General features: G+C 44.0%; 1 protein-coding gene across 46 annotated transcripts in view, besides 2 other annotated features; it reads left to right on the forward strand.

Annotated features, from left to right (window-relative positions):
- Positions 1-25,248, forward strand: part of NAV2 (neuron navigator 2) — a 776,366-nt gene that overhangs the window by 457,434 nt on the left and 293,684 nt on the right. The window contains exon 1 of one of the 46 annotated variants that reach the window (XM_047427836.1): positions 15,595-24,282. The exons of the other annotated variants lie outside the window; for them this stretch is intronic. The gene's annotated coding sequence lies outside the window, so the exon portion shown is untranslated. Of the gene's footprint in view, positions 1-15,594; positions 24,283-25,248 lie in introns of those variants that run through there. 46 annotated transcript variants of the gene reach the window in all.
- Positions 18,457-18,957: an enhancer, noted in NCBI's record as "H3K27ac hESC enhancer chr11:19842672-19843172 (GRCh37/hg19 assembly coordinates)". NCBI's record gives its function as "activates a minimal SCP1, AML or CMV promoter by ChIP-STARR-seq in primed H9 embryonic stem cells {active_cell/tissue: H9 hESC(primed)}" and the evidence as "EXISTENCE:reporter gene assay evidence [ECO:0000049][PMID:30033119]".
- Positions 18,958-19,458: an enhancer, noted in NCBI's record as "H3K27ac hESC enhancer chr11:19843173-19843673 (GRCh37/hg19 assembly coordinates)". NCBI's record gives its function as "activates a minimal SCP1, AML or CMV promoter by ChIP-STARR-seq in primed H9 embryonic stem cells {active_cell/tissue: H9 hESC(primed)}" and the evidence as "EXISTENCE:reporter gene assay evidence [ECO:0000049][PMID:30033119]".

Genomic DNA, 25,248 nt, shown 5'->3' on the forward strand with positions numbered 1-25,248 from the left:
ACCATACTCCAGCCTGGGTGACAGAGTGAGACCCTGTCTCTCAAAAAAAAAAAAAAAAAAATTACACCAATGTTTTTTCATCCTGGAGAATGGTTTTGTGGGGATGAGAGAGTCGATGGGGACAGGCAATTTGCAGGACCTCTGCTCTCCCACACAAATCAGCCTTCTAGGAAAGCCTCAGATGCACAAATTTAGAATGTATTTTCTTTCCTAAGAAGCCATTAACCCTAACTAGGAAAAACAGACAGAGGGGAGCAGCTGCTTCCTCTCTGTTATAAACAGCCATTTTGATCACAGAGGCCTCCTTTCCATTCCTTTCCAGGTTTGTCATGTTCTTGCACAGAGACGGTTGTGTGTTCCAGGCTGGGGTTTATTTTTACCAGCAATACAGATGTTTCTGCTCTTGTGCAAAATTTCATTAAAGTTCAACCAGTGGTTTGCTGTGGGAGGAGGCTGCCAAGGTTAATATTTCTGCGATGTATTCCCTTCTGTTCATTCTTGGCACCAAAATATTCCCAGGTGGGCAGGTTGTGCTGGTGCTGTATATCAAAACTAAACAACAGAATCACCAGTTTATCTGTTGAACTCAGGTGGAGTCTCTGATCACACAGAGCGCATCAGCTTTGTCTTGAAAATGCAGGCAGGGAGATACTCCCTCTGGTGAGTATCTGCTCACCCTTTAATGCCCTTTAGCAGAGAACGCCTCACACTGCAGAGGTTACCTTGGGGGCCAAGAAAGCATTTGGCAGCATGAAATGCTACATCCTTCCACTTTCCCACTGAAATGGTGGGAGCAGAGCTTCAGATATGTGTTCAAATCCTGTCTGTGGCTTAGGCAAGTTACTTACCTCTGTAGAGTGTCAGTGTCTTCATCTGCAAAATGGAATTAGTCATCCCTGCCTCAAAGGATATTGTGAGGCTTCATTGAGATGCTGCATATAATTAATTGAGATAGAGCAGAATGCCCTGGGGCAGGGAAGATGCTTGTGAGAGGAAACTGTTAAATGAGCACTTGGGGGATTCCCCCAATGGTAGAGGATAATGTATAGTCCAGGGAAGCCCCTCATTCTTCTCCCTGCTTTTGCAATGGAAAAATTCTGCATGCAGCAGAACCAGTTCTTCTACCTGAGAGCTTGAAAAAGGCAAGTTAAAAGTAATAGCAATCTGACTTGTTTGACGTGTGTTTCCTCTGCCTCGCCCCATCTGTGGCTTATCGAATTGGAAAGTGGTCAAACAAACATGGCCCTTGTCTAGGAACAATTGGCAAGGGTAGGGTAGAGCTTGAAAGGGGTGTGGCTAGGATTAAAGGTGAGACAAAAGTGATATGGTATAAGGTGATCTGTGGCCAATTTGCTTAATGACTTTTACTACTTACTTTCTGAATCCAGGTCTACTCATTAGGTCAGTGAGAAGAGCCAGACCTCATGCACTAAAGAGAGCAGGTGTGTGTGTATGTGTGTGTGTCCTTCAGGTCTCTGCAGATTTGTAGGGTCATCTGGTTAAAAATAGATAATGTTCATACTCGTTTTATAAGTCTCCATTGAAGAAGGGAATATGGACAAAATTATTCATTTTCAATTACAACGTCACCAAACGTATGTCTAGTTATTTAGGATTATTTTAATCAGTACTCTTTGTAAGCTATCCCTCTCACATACCTCAGTGCAGTGGCAATTACAGTTCCCAACCCCAAGTCTTGCAAGGTATCTAAGTGCTGAATGAATCATCAACAAGAGACAGTCTTTTTTAGTCCATTTGAAATGCAGGGTGGATCTTATTTTAATCTTGAGAAGGTCAGTTATCAGTGGTTGAATCTGTGGATGGTCTTGTGGGAGGAGCATTCTGTTAATCAGCATATTGTGATAACCAGGACATTCCATCTCCTGGCTGTGTTGAATGACAATGACATAGTGGATAATGTGTTCCCTTGGTGGTTTCTTTGTAATCCATCAAATCTGTCCAGTCTTCTGTCTGTCCTTCCATCCATCTATTTATCCATCCATCCATCTGATAGACATTTATTGGCACTTGAGTTGACATGAAACTTACAAGGGGATATGGAGATAATGATCATAGATCCTGCTGTTAGAGAATTTAACATGTGAAATAGGGGATAAGACATGTAAGAAACTGGATGAAAAAGCCAAGGAAAACTTGGGGGTGAAGAGTGGCATTCTAACCCAGTGCTTTTGAGAAACCCGTAGGATCCCAGTTTATGAAGACTGTGCATTCCCACTGCAGGAGTAAAGGCCCAGAGGCTGGAAAGAGGTGGGTCTTTATGAGGAATCACCAGTAGTTGAATTGGGCTGAAGTGAAAGGGAGGAGTGGGAAATCAGGGCACCTGCTTAAGTGGCAGTTCTTGAAAGTCAAGTTAAGGAAGTAGGACTTGGTTCTGTAGGTGCTTGGGAATGGTTTCGTGGCAGGGGTGGCCAAAGGAAGACTTTCTGGCCCTCATTTGAATCTGGATGCATGCTGACAGATTCTGACAGGTCTTCCAATTTTTAAAGATTAAGTGTCAGCTGAGAGATGAGGCAGTCTTAATGATGGGTGATGGCTGATTCAGCAAAGCCAGGCATATGTAGCACCACTTACATTTTCTTCTCTCATGGCTTCTTTCTTTTCAGACCTCTTCTTATTTTTAGTTTTTGTCACTTTTATTAACAGTTTCTCCACTGTCACAGGCATTCCTCTAAGACCTACTCTCCAGCCTCACGTCTCAGTCCTCTAGGAATGAGAATTTTGAGATGGGGGTTTGGCGTCCATGGCTTCTTCTATCTTTGGAATCTGTCCCTTGGCTATAAATAAGGCTGTTGCTTAGTGCCAGTATTGATGGTATTTGCAGCTGTCCTCTGGGAGATGGACTCAGACGAATAACCCATTTTCAAGAGGACATGGCCATTAGGTGACAGCTATTTATGGTTCCTATTGACTAGGGCCAAACCTGAACTGTCACTGACATTAAAATTTCATGAGCTGTGAGCTGCCTTTCCTTATCAGGCTGTCTCTTTCCATTTATTTGAAATATCTAACCATGTTTATCTAGGTTCTTCAAAAGATAATCTTGAGGAACGCTTGTGTTGTGGCTGCTGGGACTTTACCAAACGTACTTCTCATCCCCGCAACATCCTTCCAAACCAGAGCATTCACATCTCCATTTCACAGAAGAGAACACTGAGGGTCAAAAGGTTAAACTGCTATCCCAGAGTCACCAGGTCAGTTCATAAGTGACAGAGCCAGAATTCAAACCGACTTCTGCCTAGAATCAAAGCCTGGATAATTTCCATGAAACCATGCGTGTCTGATTTCTGAACCTGGAATTTCACTACAGAGGTTTTTATTTATTTATTTTGTCCCCTGATAGCTCAGTCACTTGGAGTTAAGTAGTTGATTGAACATGCAATTTTTAAAGCTCATTCATGCTGAATTTGCTTTAGTGTGGTAGCCAGTGTTCCATCTTTATAGAGTTTCTTTCCCACACTCTTATATGAAAATAAACAAGGCCCTAAAATGTCAGGCAAGATTCCTTCTGGCTTTGTAACCTAATGTATTTTATAGATGGTTGAATTCTCCAGTGAACATTTCATTGGAAAATATTCCTTTCCTGACTTCTGTTTCTCCATCAAAGGGATATTACATTGTAAGTGATAACTATTTCTTAGTGGCCTTGACATTGCAGTTCTGTGTAGGAAATTATCCTGCATCAGTCACTTCTGTTGTCATCAGATTCCTTTCATCTCAAGTACCTGCATTTCTTCAACTTAAAATTTGGAACATGATCAGGCCTGGGGCCAGGGAGATGGAACCTCTTGATCTCTCATATCAGTGTTGATTCTTAGAAAGAAGAAGGTATGATGATTGATAACCTGGTCTTTGAAAGCAGAAAACCTTGGTCGAATGTCAGCTTTGCTTCTTGTTAACTACTAGACCTTGGCCAGATCGTGTCTCTGAATTTCAGTTGTTTTATTTTAAAGTGGAGATTCATTTCTAAAGAGGGGATGGAGAATTTCTTTTGGTATTCTCATAGAGGCTTTGTATGCTGATGCTTTGGTGAATTAGAAAAAGCAATGCTAGAGACCCTCCTTTTTGGGGAACACTTAAGCCTCGCTGTCCCACTCACCATATAATAGATTTTCTAAATATCAAGAAGTAACTTGGGTGTCAGTGAAATGCCCCTCTTTCCTCTTTCGGAGATAATTATCTATATATCTCTATGTAGAGTGTGATATGATAGCTAACCCTGCCTGGGCATCAGAATCCTCTTGAGACCCTTGAAGGGAAAAGAAAAATGGGCATCCAAACCTACTGACTCGCACACTTCAAATATGAGGCCCAGGCATCTGTGTTTCTTAAAAGCTCCCCCAGGAACTCTGATGCACAGCTAGAATTGAGACTAGTCATGTAACCAGCATGTGGGGCAAATGTGATGTGTGCATTGCGGACAAAGCCCGTGGAGTTTTCCTGCCATGGGGGTAAATGCGTTAGCAACCCATGGCCTTTCTGTTCATTCATAGAAAATCCCATGGTCATGATAATTTGCAAAGATAGTTTCACATGACAAATTAGAATATCCCTTCCACAATACAAACCAAAGCTCCAAACTGGAATTCTGGTCAGAACCCTGAAGCAGGAGAGTGAAAACAGCCGGCCTCCTCCACCCTCACCTTCCTGCTCCACCCCCAGGGAGCTACACAGAAGACAAAGATGCTTATTTAGATGCTGCCTTCTTGAGCTGGTTTCCTGTTCTGCTAAAAGCTGGGCCTTTCTTTTTTGGGGCACATTTAGGGTCCCTTTTTAGAACCCAAAATGCACCTATGTGCACACTCTCTCCAATGAGACATTTGAATTCCTTGCCCCAATGGTGGGGGCTGCAGGCCAATCCCAGCCTGGAACCATCCCTTGGTGCTACCACTGAACCATCAGCCATGCTCTTCTCTCTCCCTCTAGATTCTCAGGGCAGGAGTCAGGCCCCAGGCCACAGCATCCCTAACTGCAGGGATATCCACTGCAGGCTCCCCAGTGACCCCACTGAAGTTCTCACCCACCCACTAGGTTTGATTGGGTGAGCAAAGGATGTGCTCATAGCAGTGTTCTCCAATGATAACCTCCTCTCAAAAAATTCTCTCTCTACACGTTCACCTGTTTTTCTATCCTCCGTCTGATACAGCAGGAAAAGTCGTGAAACTGACTCTTTGATATTCCTTGAAATTCTGCATTTTGCATATTTGTCCTGTGCTTGCTTACTTTGGTAACCACTAACTGTGGTATTGGTGCCTCAGCTTAAGCCAACTTAGGAGTGGCCACTCTGTCATGCTGAATTACCTTCATAGTGGCAGGTGGCTGTCAGGTGAGATGAGCTTGGTATTGAGACCTGGCTATGCGTCCTTAAGCAAGTGTTTTAACCTCTCTTAAAAACAGGACTAGTCACAGAAACTAAGTCTAAGATTGTGAGGATTAAATGTGGCAAACACATATAAAGGACTTAGTGTGTGGCACATAGGAAGTGCTCAGTGGTACCCATTATCCAGCCTCAGTTCCACTAAAACTCCAGCCATCTTAGCTGCCCTCTTTAAAACTTCATTCACTGAGGGGCACCAGCTGGAGAGGGGTTGCATCACCACTCCATGGGGGAACACTCCTCTAGCTCAGTCAGCTCCTGACTAGGAGCTGTCAGAAGCCACCAAGGAAAGGTCCCATTGAGAACTGAGCACAAAAGCGGGGTCACAAGAGCTAACTGAATTAAGCAAGTTATCAGGCAGTAGAAAATGCAGTTAGATTTGCATCCATGAAGCAGATGGTCTGCACAAAATGATTAAATTAGTTTTATTAAGTTTGGAGGAATTAATTTGTCACTTTATTTTTTCTTTTATTTATTAAAAAAAGAAGAGATGTGAGTTTGTTATCTCTGGCAAAAGAGATTTATAGCAAGTTTATCTGCTAGTGGAAAACAAGAGTTATGGTAGGACCTTAAAAAACAATTGTCTTTTTATTGTCTATTAATAGTTGGTACAATTATGTAGAATGTGGCCCAGAGAATAGAAATGCTGCCACCTATTGCTGGTAAAACCTGGCTTATGTTTCCAGTCATATGGGGGATATTTTTTTCCCCTTAGAAATAAATCTTCACTTCATGGGTTATTGAGTATTTAATTCATTTTGGAGACATTTTTTTGCTACTGGTGTTCTTAGGATCTGATGTTTTCTAGTTTATTGATTATTAATTACAATGTCTTACATCAAGTAAACTTGAGGGAACCTCTGGCATTTTTGAGTCCTTCTTTTAATGGTGAGGAAGAACCAAATGCAGAATCTTTATCTAAAAACAAATGGGAGCTTTTGAGTTAGAGCTCAGGGTTGTTAACTGGAGATTCCCAATACTTATTGTTTGGGCACAAATAGTTCTTTCATGGCCCTTTTGAATGGATCAAAGCAAAACCTGGAGTTTTGAATGGCTTCTTTTTTGTTAAGTCCTTTTATCCTGAACAGTTACTAATGAGTATTCTAGGAAATTCATGCATGCAGGAAGAATTTCTTGTGCATAATAACTAGGGTATAAACTTTATATTCACATACCCATGTATGTTGTTTGTGTGTTTACACACACATGAGAGTTTCTGAAATTTTCTGATCTCAAATCAAACATCAGGCTAGCATTCTGCCCTTGAAATGGCTAAATCCACATGTTATCCATGGAGGATTAAGAATTGGGTTTTCAAACCTGGTTGCACACCATAGTCAACTATGGAGCTTTGTAATTGTTCTTTTTTAAAAAATAAACTTTAAGACTAGATTTAATTTTACAGAAAATTTGATAGTACAGAAAGTTGCCATATACCCCACCCATTATTAACAACTAATATTCACATATTAGTTAGTGAACCCATGAACCCACACTGAAATATTATCAACTAAAGTCCATACTCTATTCTGATTTCCTTAGTTTTTACCTAATGACCTTTATCTGTTTCAGGATCCCATCCAGGATACTACATTTCATTTAGCTCTCATGCATCCTTAGACTTCTCTGGGCTTGACAGCTTCTCAGACTTGCCTTGTTTTTGATGCTTCTAATGGTTTTGAAAAGTTATAGTTAGATATTTTGTAGAATGGACATCATCGCTATTGCCCCCCAATTGGGATTTGTCTGATGCTTTTCCCCTAATTAGACTGAAGTTGTAGGTTTTGGAGAGGAAGAACACAGAGGTAAAGTGACATTTTTCATCCCATCCTATCAGGGTCATGCTATCAACATGACTTGCTAATGTTTATGTTAACCTCGATCACCTGGCTGAGATAGTGTTTGGCCGGTATCTTCACTGTAAAGTTACTCTTTCCCTTTTTTCCATGTTTTACTCTTTGTGCAGCCCACACTTAACCTTGAGAGCAGAACATCTACATACTTTATTTGAAATTCTATTTACATGGAAGATTTTTCTCTTCTATTTATTTAGTCAATCATTTCTTTGTGGCAGTATCAATTATTTCACACTTTGACTTATAATCCAATACTACCTTATTTTGTTGCTCAAATTATTTTGAGCTTGGTCAGCTTTGGCCATTGGGAGCTCTTTCAGTTGGCTCCTGTGTCACTTTGACATACTCCATCATTGTGTTTTGGAGTGGGGATATATGCCTACATTTTGGCACTATACTGTGCTCCAGGCTTATTTTAAATTCTTCCTGCCCCAGTCCAAGAATCATTTCTCCAAGGATCCCTGGTTCTTTTGGTTGGAGAATGCTATTGAAACCAAGATCAGGGGCTAGATCTGCTTGTTGCTACTGGGCTGTTGTTATTTTTAGAACTTTTCAGCTGAAAGAACAAGGATATGTACACGTATCTACGAATATCCTATCTAGATTCCTTTACGCTGACATGCTATATAGATCAGTATGTAATTTATACTGATAAACTATACTATAGTTTATAAACTGAAAGCAGTTTTTAGTTTCTATAGAGTCTTCAATTCTAATCCATTACCACATGGCTCATCCTAGCCTTCCATCTTTGTTCATCTGTAAGCTTTCACTCCAACAGTGAGAACATCCTGTGAAGCTTGTTAATAAACACACCTGGGCCTGGGCCTTATGGCCTGAGGTTGAGGTAGATGCCCACCTGGGATTTTGGCATCTGTATTTTAATAAGCTCTACACAGATTGAACTCTCCCAATATAGGCTGTCACAATGCCATATATTTCTCCTTTGTACCTTTTGTCACCGTTTCCCTTTGGCATCTTTTTATAATATCTTTATTTGACATCCTTATTTGATTAATATCTGTCAACTCCCTCAAGACAATAGGCTCTGTGTCAGTTTTGCTCATCATTCTGTCCTCAGAAAGGGTGCATTGTAGGTATTTATTAAATATTTGTTGAATGAATGGGTGGAATGACACACAGCAACACTGAGGAGGAAGAGAAAAATGTGTGTGATTTATCGAACTCTTCCTACATGCTAAACGGCTGTCTAGTTGCTTTCTAAATATTATCCAGTTCAGGGATTTGAATCAGGTCCGGCTGACATCAGAATCCACACCCTTTCTGTTGTGGAGTTCCTGCTGGTAGGAAGCCTCTTGTCTTCTGCTTTGCATGTCATGGGCTCTCCTACTGGACTGGATGGAGCTGTGTGGGTGGCCAAGGAGGAGGTCAGAGGGGGAGAAATGGCAGCACCCATTTAGAGTGTCACCCAGGCCTCATTAGGAAATTGACTCCCATTTGGTTTGGGAAGGGGGGTGTTTTTTCCTGCCTTTTCATGCTCACAATGAAGGTGACATTGATTTACAAGTCAGTGGGTTGGAGCAGGGAAGGGAGGCTTCTATGGGTGGAAAAGATCAATTAAATGATTATCCCAGCTGCCACACACTAATGCCTTTCTTACTGAGTTTCAAAATCAGGAAGCAGAAGGTTACCACATTTAGCCTTTTACAGGAAATCTAATTGCCAACCTTGTGGTGCCAAGGTTTATTAGATTGGGAAGAGTTGCTCTTAGTGGCTGGCAGTTTCTGGCATGACAGAAAGCTTTCCACTGGCCACCTGGAATTGTAAATGACTGCCTCCTCTTCCTTTTTGCGTGCTTTTGCTAAAGTTTTATGCAGATAGCCTTTTGTGATTTTTATCTTTTTGTGATTTTTATCTGGATTCTAGGGGGATGGTACTTAAGCTTGGTAAGCAGTCAAAAAAAATATTTATTCAATTCCTACTATGTGCTATGCCCTGGTCTAGTGGCTGAGAACTGCAGTGGTGAGCAAAACAGATACGCGTTGTCTTTAGAATCCTTTGCCTGGAATGGTCTTCCTATGGCTTAGTGGTTCCCAGACTGTAGTATGCATGAGGACCACCAGAATGCTTGTTCAAACCCAGTCTGCTGATTATTTTTTCCATCGCCTTTCCATGGTCCTGTCCACATTGAAAAAAGGCAATCTCAAGAGCAGACCAGAATTCAGTCCAGCAAGCAACTCTTGCACAAATTGCACGGCTAAGCTGCCACCCCCCACAATTTCTGATTCAATAGGCCTGGAGTGGGGCCTGATAATCTGCATTTATGATGAGTTCCCAGGCCATGCTAATGCTGCTGGTCTGGGAGAACCACCCCCTGAGCCTTTGCATGGTTGCTCTCTTCTTATCAGTTGGGTCTCTAATCAAATATTACCTGCTTAGAGAGGCCATTCTTGATTTCCCAACCACATTATCCCTCCACTCCTGGCCATTCACTCTCTAATGCATCTTCATAGCATTTATTATTCTCTAATATTAGTTTGCTTATTTTTTATTACCATTTTGTCTCTCTCTCCTACCTCTCATCCTCAGTAGAATAAAGCCTCATGAGAGCACTTCCTTAGACACTGTTGAATCCTCTAAGATTATCAGAGTACCAGAGTATGTGCTCAATAAATACCTGAATGAATTAAATAATTACAAGAGTAATGAGTCATATGAAGGAAAGACCTAAGATGCCTTGGTAGTGTAACAGGTAGACCTAAGGTGGAGCAAAGATATTGCATTTCATCCTACTTGGAGCAGTTTCTAGATGTGGCCTTAACACCTGATTTAAACACTGCATACCAGAGTTTTGTCTTCAAGGTTACAGGCTGTGGGATTTGTCTGCGATCATAGCAGGCCACTCTGGATTTGCTTAGTTTTTCCATCGCCTTTCTATAGTCCTGTCCACAATGAAAAAAGGCAATCTTAAGAGGAGACCAGAATTCAGTCCAGCAAGCAACTCTTGCACAAATTGCATCATGAAGTTGCCAGGCCCCTATCTCTGAGCTTGGCAGGAGGCAAGGCCTGAAATTTACTTCTTCTAATAACCTTCCACCTGAAGCCTATACTCATTCCCTTGTTGGAATCTGGAATCCGGCACCCATGCCAATGTCTCGGTAGCCTTTTCATAACCTCTACAAAGTTGAATGAAGGCTCAAACTCTTCTTTGCAGGAGTGAGACCTTTCGATGAAACATGTAGATTCCTCTCCTGCACTGGCCTTTTAGAGAAATGTAAGGGCAGGCACTGTTGTTTTTTCTTTTCAACAGAGTCAAGCAAAAGATGAGGCACATGGAGGCACCATGCGACTAAAAGCTCTGAGGATGATTGTCAAAACCCCACTGGAGGAGTTGGAAAGCATGTAAGGTTTTGCTCTTGTGTGGCCTCAGCAGCCACTGCCTGGTTCAAGTGAAGTTTGCACAGTCCCTTGGCCTAGAGCTTCATGCCCAGCTTTTGCCAAGCGTGGGCCAAGTGGGGGAATGATTCCCCAGGTTTGTTTGCCTGGGGCAGCCAAAGAAACAGTGATTTATTTCCCCTGAGTGTGTCATGAAAATGTAAGCACCGAGAGTTGGATTATTTTGGAGGGTGAGAATTTGATGGGGGAGATGGAGATGGAAGAATTGCAGCAGTTTGGAGTCAGGGCTGGGGGCCAGAGGGCCGCCCAGTGGGTTGGGGTAACATAAGCTGCCGCTATTCAGGAGGTGGCCTGTGTAAGAAAATCTGACCACAGCGGGTGCGTGACTTCAGCTAAAATTAACCTTGGAGGCTTCACACGCTTCCACAGTGCTTTGAACTAGACACTCCCAGAGAGGGCATGGGACGTTGACTGCTGAGGACTGCGCTGCTGCTGTGGGTTGAGCCATGCCTGTAAGCATCAACTTATGGGTTCCCGCTCGGGGTCAAAGTCGGGATTCCTGTGACCATTATAAAGTGGTAAGCAACCTCCAGGGATGTTGGCAGGGTCTCTGGGGAGAGACAATGAAGTTTATTTGAATTGGACTTGTGTTTAGAGATGGTTTCAATTTATTTTCTATGCAGAGCAGAGACCACGAGCCCTCCAAGCAGGACTTTCATCTGTGGAAAGCTAGAAGAGCTAACTGCCACCTTTGTGCTGCTTTTTTGTTTCATATGTCCGCCCAGGGTGAGGGCTGGGTGGTGTATTTTTAGAGCAGGTAGAGAAAGATCTGTCTGGACATTGTTGGTGGCCTGAGAAAATACAACTGCATAAACCAAAGGCCAAGCTGAGGAAGCTGAAATTGGGAAGGTCCTGGATGTCAACAGGTGTGGCAGGTTTCGCTTGTTTTCTTAATTGTGGGCCTCAGCAGGTGCAAAAGAGTTGGAGGAGATGCCAGGGAGTACTCCTGAGGGCTTCATTGAAGGAGGGACTTGCTTGGGGGAAACTGGAAGCAATTTCCTGTTCAGTGAGACCCATGGATGTCCCGGGAAGGGCCCACTGCCCTCTCCCTCCCCTGGCCAGGGTGACCTGAATGGTATCATTTAAGCTGGAAGGCATCTGTACCCATGGCTTTCCACTTGCTGCCGAGAATCCATTTGGGAGCATGCATTCACAGAGCAAAAAGGCAAGATGCATTTTTATTCCTTTATGCCTCCTTAACCTTCAGACAGTTACTGTAACTCAGGGGCTAATGGCAGTCCTGGTGCCTGCAGCTGTGTGGCGCTCTGGTTTTACAATCAGAATGGCCACTTTTTTGTTTGTTTGTTTTGAGAGAGTGGATCTCACTATGTTGCCCAGGCTGGTCTTGAACTCCTGAGCTTAAGCAATCCTCCTGCCTCAGCCTTCTGGAGCAGCTGGGACTCCAGACTTGAGCCACCATGCCCAGGTAGAATGGTCACTTTGATGTGGTCAGAGGCAATGGCTTTATGACAGAGAGAGAACCTTCTTAGCCTATTCTTCTTGTAAAAATGCTGTAGTTTACCCTCCCCTCCTAAAACTTATCCTTCTCCCCCACCTATCTAACCCAACTTCCTAGGCAACATTAGCATTATTAGGTGGCTTGGCAGGTGCTTATTTTCTAGGAAAGAGTGTGCTTCTCTTATCTGCTTAATGCTTACTCTATACAGCTGACCTTGGAGTGATCTATTATAAAAACGTTTAAACCCGCAAAGCATTTGCTTTGGTGAGCAGATATTCTGTGTGGCCCTTTATGTACAAAGATAAGAACGATGTGGGTATGAAAGGTGTAGGGAAAAAAACCCCTGCATGAAGATACGTTTTCACACAGTTTTGAGGTCATTTTCCATGTGAGCCACTTTACTGAGTCCTCTGAGTATTTGATATCCTCTTGTTCCTTCATCCTCTGGGTGTGTGGCTCATTAAAGGTGGAAGGCTGCTGGGATATTGGACATGTGTGTCGTTTGCTCTAGATGTGTAGCACTACCCAGGCCAAGCACAATTAATGGGGATGTCCCTGAGTTCTCATTATTATTTTTAACTCCTGGGGTCTAGGCTCACTGCCCTGTGGAAGAGATTTCTTTTGAGATAGAATGTTAAAAATAGACATTTCAATAGGAGGCAGCTATTGTATGTGGTTCTGAAGTTGGATGAACACATCTTATATGCCTGCATGGGAATTCCCATCCCATGCTGGACCTGGGTGATTAGACATAGAATTCAAATTCCCATCTTCATAGGAACACAAGGCTCCTTCCAGTTCCATCCTAGAACTTCTTCTTCATCGTGGTCATCTGAATGACCTGGCCTGATTTTTGTAACTGCCTTGTGGCATAAAGATGACTGGACTGAGTTGGAATACCTGGTCTGTTAGCTGGACAGATGCTAACCTTGTCCAGCTGGTATCTCACTGGCTTCATCCATGCAATGGGGAGAATGCAAGCTGCCACCGCCCATGTTTCCCAGGATTGTGGTGAGGCTCAGATTGGATTGTATTTACAAAAGAACTTTATAAATGGTAAGCACTGCAGACAGGAGGCAGAGACAGCACTGTTGTTAGGACTTTATTATTCTTCTTGAGATGAATCAATCAGGGCCTTCTTCCAGGACTTTGGAGAATAAATAGTATCTTTGTGCAAATTGTTCTTTTGTGCTCTGGGCCAGGTTGTCCCCTGGGTAGAGGAGACACCCCTTCTTTCCTAGGTGCCAGCTTGGTGTTTGGTAGTCTTCGTAGTAAACGCCTAGTATAATAAAAATAATAAACATGAAAAACCCGAGATGCCCTCAGGCCTGAGAGCTCTGACATCTGGGCTGGAGAAGGGCCCGGGGCACAACGGTCATTTCCACTGTGGCCAAGTCTCTTGGCCATGGAGTTGCCGAGAAAGGAATGAGGCTCCCAAATGGGGAAGGAGCAGGCAAGCGCATTCCTAGGGCCGGGCAGCGCCAGCCACTGCTGGGAATTGCCTGCCTTCCAGAGTTTTTTAAAGCCTTTGCTACACAACTTTCCCACAAGTGACACAACAGTCTTTGCCAGGTTCTGTGCCTCTCTGCCCAACGGGCTGGAGGGCCATGGCCATTTATGAGAATGTCAGATCTTCTCTAGTCCCTCTGTACCTTCCTTCACCCCTCTGTCCGTTACCCCTCCCTGAGTACTTCTGCAAGTGTGCTCATAGGTGCTTCACATTTTTTCCTCATTCAATTCTTCATCTAAGTTGGTGCAGTAGATGCTATTATGATCTCCACTTCACAGATGAAGAAGCTGCATTTGAAGAGTTTAAGTGACTTGCCTGGACTTGGATACATTAGCAGAAAATTCAGGGAAGTTTATGGCTATAGAATAACATCAACACAGAATATCCGCCCTCCTAAGCAAAAGCTTCCAGGGTTTAAACATTTTGCAATTGATCATTCTGAGGTCAGTGCTTTATGGTCCATTGTTTGTGGTTGGCATCATTATGTAAAAATATGTAAATATACCTATAATATCTATTATTTATAAACAAAATCTAATTTTCAGGCCCTTCCGCCTCCCTCTTCAGGTGAAACCAGAGGAGGCTCCCACCACCTTTTTTTTTCCCCTCTGTGCCTTCGGTCACAGCCCCTTATGCAGAAAAAGGGACTCCACCTGGAGCCCTCTCTGGATCTACTTCTCCCAGATAAATCAGTCGGCTGTGTAATCTTTCAGGAAACCTGACCCCTCATCTCCCAGGGGAAATCCTTAAACTACCCACCACCCCACTGCTCAGGTTTCTTGGGTAAGAAACATCCTCAAATAATCACCACGAGTGCACACAGTTTGCCTTTGGTGTTGGGAATTTTAATAAGCAATGTACACCTTATATAGCCACTCACCTGCCCTGGTCTGAATGGCCCTAAGAAAACAAAAACAAAACAACAAAACAAAAATCCTTTACCATTAAAAAAAATCTCCCAGGCTTTCCAGAGTGATTATATAGCCTCACATCAGTCTCCTGGGGTTAAAGCATTGAGGATCCCATTGGAAATGTAAATGTTTTTTGGGAACTGTGACTCACCTTTCTCTGCCAGAGCTGTGTGCCTGGGACCTAGTAAGCCCTGATGGAATGGAATGTGGGTCAGGTGAGTTTTGATCCCCAAGTCAGGCAGAGACAGTTAGGTCCAGTGTCTGGGAATGGGGGAACACCTGGAGCGGGGCTTTTGGGACGCCTCAGTGGGTGATGAGGTCCGAGTTGGGGGAGGGAGGGCCTGGGCAAATTGAGGATGGTCAGTGTTTGGGAGACCAGTGCCAAAACCAAAGACACTCATGTGAAAGGAGGGAGGGGGTGGCCAAGAGGGCCTTTGAGCCAGCAGTCCTTGAGCAGGTGCTCTGTAACAAGCACGCTGAGAGGTCCTGCAAAGGGAAAACTTGAGCTCATGCTCTACCCACTTGGCCCTGTAAATAAAGCCGGGTCACTCTCTTAATGGGGAGTAACTGAACCTTGGCTCCAGCTCACTTGCTCCTGTCCCTTCACCTACTAGGAAGCGGAACTTGGCACCTCTTGTCCTTTCTGAGAAGGATTCCACTTGCCCTAGAAAGCACCAGTAAGAATACAGATTGCACTGGAGATCTCCAAGGGGAGAGTTCGGATCGTATTCAGTCTCCCTAAAGGCCCCTCGATCTCATCTCCAAGCCTTCTTGCCCACCCAGATAGCCTCTTTGCACCCCACAGGCTTCCCAGCTCCAGATCTTACCTCTCTCCCTGAATTCCCTTTTTTTCATGCAAAGCATTTTAGCACAGTCTACTGCCCCCTAAATTTGCATACTCTTACCCATCATTCTACAAAACAAAGAGATTTCCAGTTTGGGGGAGGGGTAGGGGTAAGGAGGGAAAATAATAACTCATGTTTTTTTCCTGTCCCACCTGTGTGTATTTAGTGATTTTTTTTTTTTTTTTTTTTTTTTTTTTTTTACTCCATCTCACCTGTCTATACTCAGTGACGTTTAACAGTTGGCTCTCCAAGGAGAAAAGCCTGATAGGTAGTACTTGCCAATTACCATGGTGTAAATCCTTCTACCAAGACTGATTTTAATTTACCCACTCTGAGCTGGGAAGAGATGTACAGTAGTGCATTATTATATAGTATTTCCCTCATACAGATATAATAGGTGTAAATAATCTCATGACCATAAACAATAGTAAAATACAGTAAAATAATTAGAAAGTGATGAGTTTTAAATATTTACTATCACTTTAAAAATATAATTTTAAGTTTATATAATTTAATTATTAAAATAGTGGCTGTAGTTAACAATCAGCTCCAAAATTTACTGAAAATGTTACAACCAACTCTCTTGAGCCAGTCCATGCCTGCCCTGGCATACCACTGTATGTGTGTTTGTATCTTTGAAAATAGCACTTTAGCATCCACCGTCGGGTGGGTCCTACTACCAAGCTACTGAAATTGTCTCATGGCAGTGTTACTTACCAGTGCCTGCTGTGGGCCTTTTGCTATGACTGGTCTAACAGCTACATGAAATATGTTGGTTTTATGGACTTTATAATCTAGGCAGTGAAGGGGAACATACTTATTCATCTGTCCCACCCATTAGTCCATCTGTCTATTTGTGCATCCCCCACCATTTAATCATTCATCTCTTTTTTTCCACCCACTCATCCACGCTTCCATCCATCTGAACATTCACCAGTCTGTTTACCCAGATCTTCCTCCCTCCCTTCCTCCATCCATTTTTACTTTCTTCCCTTCATCCATCTACCCACCCACCAGTAAATCAATGAGTGCTTGTTTATCACGCTCCTGTAGTGAGTCAGGTGTTGTGCTTGTGTTTTAAATATGTATAAAACTTGTTCTCTACTCTATAGAAGCTCCTGATTGAGAGAGATGTGAGTAGTTACAACAGCCAGGATAAAGGCAGATGCAAAGTGCTTTCAGAGGTGAGAAGAAAAAATGAGTAATTCTGTTAGGAGTAGGCAAGCAGGTTGGGAATGGCTTTACGGGGACTGACATTTACTTTGCTTTTCAGATTTCAAGTGGGCATTTCCTAGGTGGTGGGGGAAGGGCACCCTAGGCAGAGAGGGCAGCGTGTGAAAAGGCACAGAGGCTGGGGAGCCTGTCCCACAGGGTTGTTTTAATTGCCTTCTCTGAACTCCCAGTTCACACAGAAGCCTGGCAGGCAGGGTTGGCTTCTAGGAGAAGGGGGAGTTCTGCTAAGTGGAGGGGACCAGGGAGGCACATGGGACCAGAGAACCTGCCCATAGGGACTGAGGGTTAGAGTAGCATGGAACTGTGGTGTGAGGGATGCCACCAGCTGATGCACTTGAAGGCATTTTTTAGGGACATGGAGATGACGGAAATAATGAAAGGAAACTAACAGTAAAGGCACCACCTATGTGCTAAGCACTTTACAAACACTGAGTCCCCACAATAGACACATTAGTCTTTACAACAGATAATAGAGTATTATCCCATTTTACAAATGTGGAAACTGAGGCTTAGAGAGTGGTGGATTGCCCAAAGCCACAAAGCCTCAGTGTAGTCTGTGTCTAAACATGTGCAGAGTTCTGCGGATCTAATCTCTCATTCTATCCCCTCAACAATCCTGAGATGTTAAGCAACCTGTCAGACGTCAATCAAGACTCCAAGGTCTTGGCTGGGCATGATAAGGCCAGACGTCCTAGGGAGCCTGTGCCTAGAAGGTGGAGCTGAGGTGTTTGGCTGGATGAGGACAGCTGACAGTCCCTCTGTCTGCAGTCTGCAGGTGAGGGGAGCTATGGAAGTTTGAACAACTGGATGGAGGCTACGACTTAAAAGGTCAGTTTGTGACCAGACCAGAGAGAGGCCTTGTAGTGGCCCAGGTTCTCACTACCCACTTAGGTGTGGCTGCCCTGTCAGGCAGTGGCACTGATTGATGTCTGCTGTCAATAAGTGTGCTTGCAGCTGCTCCCAAGCCTTTCTGCAAGGGCCTGATTGCCATCATACCAGAGGAAGCACTTGGAAGGAGAATGCATCTGATTAGTCAGTAACTAATGAACACAGGGAGAAAAAACACTTGAAAAATTCCTAGCAGGGCTCTGACATTTGGCTTTCTGGCAGCTAGTAGAGATTGTGGTTAAAAGTTGTTCAGATCTGGGTTCTAAGGTTGGAGAGAGTGGGAGGAAGTGCTGTAGAAAGGGACTCAATTTTGTTCTGAAGTGACCAGTAAGAATTCCAGTTTTCAGCCTCACTTGGACTTATTTGATTTTCCAGGGAGTTTACAGGGAGAGCTGGAGACATATTTTGCCGTGGTGAGAGGTGGTAGCCGTGAGGCTGGTCAGCTTGAGTCAGAGGGAGCTTCACCTTTTATTAGCTATGTGATCCTGTGCACCTTAACCTCTTGGAGCCTGTTTTCCAGTATGTAAAATGGGGCTGATCATCCATTCAACAACTGTTTAGTGAACACCTACTATGTGACAAGGGCAGCTCTAAATGTTTGGTCCTGGCGTATTGGAGCTGTTACTCCAGTGAGTGAGAGATTGTAGATGAGATCACAGGTACAAAACACCTGGCACACAGTAGACAGAAGCACAGACTTCCTAGCACATAGGGGATAGTGATCAAATGAGGAAATGAATAGGAAAGTACTTTCTATTATATGAAGTATGAAACGGGGCATTGAGAGGAAGATCGAGGGCCGGGCGCAGTGGCTCACGCCTGTAATCCCAGCACTTTGGGAGGCCGAGGCGGGCAAATCACGAGGTCAGAAGATTGAGACCATCCTGGCTAACACGGTGAAACCCCGTCTCTACTAAAAATATAAAAAATTACCCAGGCGTGGTGGCAGGCACCTGTAGTCCCAGCTACTTGGGAGGCTGAGGCAGGAGAATGGTGTGAACCCGGGAGGCGGAGCTTGCAGTGAGCCGAGATTGCGCCACTGCACTCCAGCCTGGGCGACAGAGCGAGACTCTGTCTCAAAAAAAAAAAAAAAAAAAAAGAGGAAGCTCGTAGGCACTGAATGTGGGTTATCCTGAGGTGTGGATGAAGCAGGCACCTACACCCTCATCCTTAAAATATCACCTGTTTCTCCCAGCACGTTCACCAGCCTGGTTTATTTTTTTTAAAGGCATAGTTTCAAAACCTCTGGAGGTGCTGTGTACACCCACCTGTGGCTTGTTCATGTTCCCATCAGACAATGTCACCATTGTGTGGCTGTGGTGCCATTCACAGGCATGACCCAGTGTCTGCTGCTGCATGGGGTCCCAGATCAGCCTTGCACACCACAGACTGGAAGAACTGGGGGACTTTGCCCCTGAGTGTTTCCCTACTTGGATACAGTCCTGCAATGGTAACTCATGTTATATTGGCATTTTTGTTTTTGCTACAGTGAGATTGTTGTGAAACTATGTTTGCTTTGTGCTTTGGTGACATGGGAAAGTGTCAGCTCCCCTCTTGGGTCTGTTAGTCCTGAGTGACAAGTGGCCAGCCCTGTTCCCAGGGTCAGGGGAAACACTGTGATGGGTATTATGCAATATGCCTTTCCCTCTCTCTCTGCTTTTTCCGCACTGCTGTAGCACTTGACCTTCTGTGGTAGTGGTTTCTGTGTGGGCCCCTCAGTAACAGTGTGGCATCATTAGGAGCCAGTTATTGCTTTCAAACCCCGCGTACTTGTCACATAACATTGGGAAAGTCACTTTGCCTCTTTGAGCCTCAGTTTCCTCATCTGTAAGATGGGGAAAATAATATCTCCCACAGAGGTGGGTTGGAAACTGAAGGAATCCCTTGTTTGTAAAGTGTTCACGTTGCATGGCATCATCTTCATGGTAATTATAATCACAGCTAACCTGTTGAGCCCTTGCCGTGTGTCAGGCATTGGTAGATTATCTCATTTCAATCTCACAGTAACCAGAATGGGTGATCCATTTTACAGATGAGGCAACTGAGTCTCAGATAGGGTAATTCTGGGCAAGTTACTAAAACTATCAGGAAATGCTTGGAGCATGTTTGGAACTAAATTATCTGACTCTAAGAAGTGTTCTCTTAATGATTTCACCGTAGACATTTGGCAGATGGTAGTTACTATCCTACATAAGACTGGAGCAAGCATTGCCCCCTGCACAGGTAGATGCTCAGGCAGTGTTTTCTTCATGCACCAAGGCACGCATGCAGCTCTAAGCTACTTAACTTGATATTCAGAGGCAAAGTTAGGAGTAGGGATAGTCCCAGGATGTGGAAAAAGATGAAAATCCTAATTAATGAGAAGCTGTGCCACTCTTGCTGGTCACTTGCTCTGTGTGAGTATCCCTTTGAAACAAAGGCTTCTAGGTGGGCAGGTATTAGGGTTTATCTTTGTTTGGTGGTTGTGCAGGCAAGTAGGTTACTGCAGATAAAAAGAGAAGAAACCAGCAGATGGCTCTTCCCCTCCCCCTGCTGCCTTCTTCTGGGTCCAGACAGGGATTTATACCCTTTGGTATAAATGTTCATGTTAGCCATATTACAAAACATATGTCAAGAGCAAAGGCTGGCAATACAATTCCTCATATGCTCAGATGGGGAATAGAGAACCCATTCACATCTCAGTGCTCCTGGAACCCAGCTTTCTAGGAGTCTTACCTGGCTCAAGATCAGCTGAGAACCAAAGAGCCTTCCCTGCTGTACCCTGGGGCAGCTCAAAGGCGTGTCACAAAATCCTTCTACTTATGGGTTTTCCTTGAGGGAAAAGTTCCAGCATGGCTCTTGCTTAAACAGTATGTGCTCTTACTTTATACAGAGTTTTGTTTGAGACAGGGTCTCGCTCTGTTACTCAAGCTGAGTGCAGTGGTGATCAGGGGTCACTGTAGCCTCGACCTCCTGGGCTCAAACAATCCTCCTGCCTCAGCCTCTTGAGTAGCTGGAACCACAGGCACATGCTACCACACCTGGCTAATTTATTTTATTTTGAGATGCATTTTCACTTTTGTCGCTCAGGCTGGAGTGCAATGGCGTGTTCTTGGCTCACTGTAACCACTGCCTCCCAGGTTCAAGTGATTCTCCTGCCTCAGCCTCCCAAGTAGCTGGGATTATGGGTGCCTACCACCATGCCTGGCTAATTTTTGTATTTTTAGTAGAGAAGGGGTTTCACCATGTTGGCCAGGCTGTTCTCAACCTCCTGACCTCAGGTGATCTGCCTACCTTGGCCTCCCAAAGTGTTGGATTTACAGGCGTGAGCCACCGTGCCCAGCCTATTTCTTATTTTTGTAGAGACAGGGTTTCACCATGTTGCCTAGGTTGGTCTTAAACTCCTGGGCTCAAGCAATCTGACTGCTTCAGCCTCCCAAAGTGCTGGGATTACAGGTGTGAGCCACTGTGCCCAGCTTATACAGTTTCTAAAGACTCTGGGGTCTCTTAAGGAAGGTCGAGCAACTCAGTAGGTCCTAAGGACACATCCTTGTAAACATCAAAACACTATCATTTATAGTGACGTCCCTGGGGCCGGGGCCTGTCGGGGACTCGGGGGCTAGGGGAAGGATAACATTAGAAATACCCAATGTAGATGACGGGTTGATGGGTGCAGCAAACCACCATGGCACATGTATACCTATGTAACAAACCTGCACGTTCTACACACATATCTGAGAACTTAAAGTATTAAAAAAAAGACAAGAAAAGAAAAGAAAAAGTGCAATTGTGTTAATTAAAAATCAGATCATTATAATCTGTTTGGAAAAAAATCCCAGTGGAATTGTTTAAAATGTGTGGCTCTCAGAAGTGTAAACCTTCAGCAATCTAGAATGACTTATTCCTCCAAAACTCAGTGTTATTCATTTGAATATTAATAATGGTTGTTTATTTACTACATACTATGTGCCAGACACTGTGTTAACCACTTATATGATCTCATTTAATCTGTAAAGCAACTGTATATCACCACTGCACAAGTTCAGAAGGACACTGATGTTCAGAAGGGATATGACTCCCCAAGGGTCACCTAGCTTATAAGGCAAAGCCAGAGTTCAACCCTGGTCCACACCTACACCTGAGACTGTAGACACTTGCCTTTATGATTTTGTGGTTGCAGAAAGCCCACAAATGTCCCAAGTAATACATCAGAAGATGGCAAGGATGGGGATAGAATGATGGTCATTGCCCTAGAGGTTGGGCATGTGGGGCACTGCAGGGACATTGGGCAGAACCGGACTTTTCTGAGAAACCGGAGAGCAGAAACCCCTGTTGTGCTGTGCAGCCTTGAGCAAAAGACTTGCTTCTCTGTGCTCTGCCTGTTTCTCCAGTGTGTAGGGCTGGGGACACCATTTCACCTATTTGACTATTGTAAGGAGGTGGTTTTTAATCCCAAGGTGGGGGCTACATTAAAAGGAGGATACATTAAACCGTTAAGGAGAGAGGAAAGTGGGAAAAAGCCACCAGCTAATTTCGGTTTCCTCACCCCATGCAGCTAAAAGGTTATGTGGACTTGTGGTTGATACCTGTGGGGATGGGTATCATACTCCTTGCTAGATGCTGCAGATGCAGGAATGAATGTGTCACCAGCTTAGCTCTTGATAACAAATGGTGCATTTCGATTTTCTTAAAATTGTGAACAATTGAATAAGCAGTGACATTCTTTGTGGTGTTCAAGGACAGAATGAACACTCTACTATTGTTGCAAAATCATTTTTTATACTCCAGAGCATTCAGAACTAAACCATTTAACCACGTACTGCTCAGTCTTAGAAATGACATTGTGTTGGCTAGGTGTGGTGGCTCATGCCTGTAATCCCAGCACTTTGGGAGGCTGAGGAGGGCGATCACTTGAGGCCAGGAGTTTGAGACTAGCCAGGCCAACATGGTGAAACCCCATCTCTACCAAAAATACAAAAATTAGCTGGGCATGGTGGTGCACACCTTTAATCCCAGCTACTTGGGAGGCTGTGGCAGGAGAATCACTTGAACCCAGGAGATGGAGGTTGCAGTGAGCCAAGATCACACCCCTGCACTCCAGCCTGGGAGACAGAGTGAGACTCTGTCTCAAAAAAAAAAAAAAAAAAAAAAAAAAAAAAGGCATTATATGATGACATTACCAAAGTCTAGAGTGAGGCTTCCTGAATTGGGGCCAAACAGTAGCATTCCCCTTACAATCAATCCACTGGAAATGCCTCAGATGCTAAACGACTGGTTTACTTTAAACATTAGTCTCCACACTGGCATTTCCTTCTAAGAAATACAGTTTGCTCTGTTTCTCCTGGAGCTGCTAACCTGATGCCATCTGCCTCTGGATCCATCAGGCTGCCTGGCATATCCATCTGCATTTATAGTTTGGTAGCTAAGGCTCCATTCTAGCACTTTCAGTGCAGTTGTTTTGCAGAATTTTTCTTGGGTTCTTTAGTGCTACCCGGCTTCATTTGAGGGCTAATTGCAGTATAAACTTAGCAGTGTTATTATCCCCTTTGGTTTAACATGGTACAATTATTATCAGTTTTTGTTATTACAACTAATGATTAGGTTCTTTACTTGAATTGATCTGTCAAAATGTTCTCTTTTGGATTTCAGCCTGTTTGATGTGGAATGATGTGGAGTTATAAGCAAACAAATGATGCACTCCTTAAAATTCTGTCAGGGGTAATAAAGTGAATCAAAATGAATTCACTGTTTAGCTGTCTTAGCTTTCCTTCCCCTTTTATCTTGTCAAGCCTTTGACAGCAGCTTCTCTCCCTCACAGAGCAGTTCTGGAGCACTGAGTTTTTGGTTAGAAGGGATGGGCAGAGGGGTACCTCTGCAAGATGGAGTGATTGGAGCAAGAGGATGGCTGGACTCATTCTTGGGTACTAGTGTCAAAGGATCCTAGAGACTTTCTCGTGAAATGACTTGATGATTTAGAATTGGAATTGGGGATGGGATGGTGGTTTTGGTCTTTCCTGCTGTTCTTTGTCCAATCAGTTTCTACTGAAACTTCACAGCTATCCACCTGGGGGCAAACCAGGATGAAGAATCAATGGGCTCCTGGGGAAAAAGCAACAGCAGCCCTCAATTTTCCATCATTTTAGGGAATGAAAGCCTTTGGAGAAAACAATTCTGGATAGCTGAGGCTCAGACAGGAAGCCTGCTTGCTTTAAGCCCTTACTCAAAATCTTGAGCCCTTACTCAAAACGCACATTGCTCCGTTTTTGCTGAATTGCTGGACCTGATGAAATCTATCTTTGATGACTAAAGAAATTATAAGTTTATTTTTCAAGGGTACCCCTTGGAAGAATGATTTTCCTTGCATGAGCTAATGAAACAGCAAGTGAAGGAGATGGGGCTGAATTTATGTCCATGATTAGCATGGCCCATGAACACTGACTTAAAAAATAAATCTAGGTGTTTTCTTGATTCACTTCAAAAAGTTGAGAGCTGGGGACAGGGAGGGAAGGGAGAGGAAACTCCAGATAATTAATGATCCTTGTGAAATGGTTTCTGATTAATGAGCCTGAGCTATGGAGTGATTTATTTTCCCTGCTCCCTGCTCTTTTTAATCAATAAAGAGATTCTGATTGGAGGATTTGCTGAGAGCCCACATCATGTAAGTCTCAAGTGTAATCAGTTTCCCAAGATTTGCCCTTTTTCTCCATATTCAGCTCTACCTGGCGACCACTTACCAGCCTCCTGCGGTGGGCCAGCCCCTGTGACGCACTACCAGGAGTGCAGAGATGGGTGAGTGGGAGTGGAAAGGTGGTGCCAGCATACACGTTCTCTACATCTGCTATATCACAGGCTGCTGAGGTTTGGGTCAGGAAATTAAGAGGGACTTGATGGGGGACAGGCATTGGAATTAAGCTGGGTGAGATGGCCTCAGGCAGCAGAGGCACCTGGGCAGAGGGGATAGACTGAGTTCAGAGAGAGGGAAGTGTGGGGTGTGTCCAGTTTTCCTGAGGGTTATCGTATTATTACTACTGAGCATGTGGTATGTGTAGGTGTATCATTTCATTTGGTCCTTATAACATAGACTGGCAGACTTTCTGTGAAGAGCTGGTAGTCAGTACTTGAGGTTTTGTGGGCCACAGGTCACTCGGTCACAACTGCTCGGCTTTGCTTTGTAGCACGAAAGCAACCAGAGACCATAAATGGATGAGTCTGTGTCCTGATACCTGTCCCGAGGTTGTTGACCGCCTATTTGTTTACATAAATAGGTGGTCAGCTAGAATTGGCCCGGGTTGCAGTTTGCCAGCCGCTGCCTTATAATATGTTTGATATAATCCCTGTTTTATGGAGGATAAAACCAAAGAACAGAAAGATTAGTAGAAACTAACATTGCCCAGGGCCAAGGGCCAGCTTGACTAGCTCAGATTCCAAAGGCTGCATTCTTCCACACACGCTGCCTCCCCTTCAAAGGCTGGAGGACTTTCTGGGACAGATGGATGATAAGGCTGCCTTGACTGAAGTGTGAAGAGTTAGCCTTTATTATTTTTATTATTTTTTTAATTTTAAAAAATTGTTTTAAGAAGTTTAAAAACAGGCATGCTTAATTAGCATAATACTGAATGACAGCCAATCACAAACTGAATTTTTAAAGTGGGAAGTGTTTGCTCCTGGTGTGGTGCACCGGCCTGTAATCTGGGAATCCCAGCATTCTGCGAGCCCACGCCCAGGCCTAGGAGGGAGGATCCTTTGTTCTATGAG

Source organism: Homo sapiens, chromosome 11, assembly GCF_000001405.40.
Source record: "Homo sapiens chromosome 11, GRCh38.p14 Primary Assembly".
NCBI lineage: Eukaryota > Metazoa > Chordata > Mammalia > Primates > Hominidae > Homo > Homo sapiens.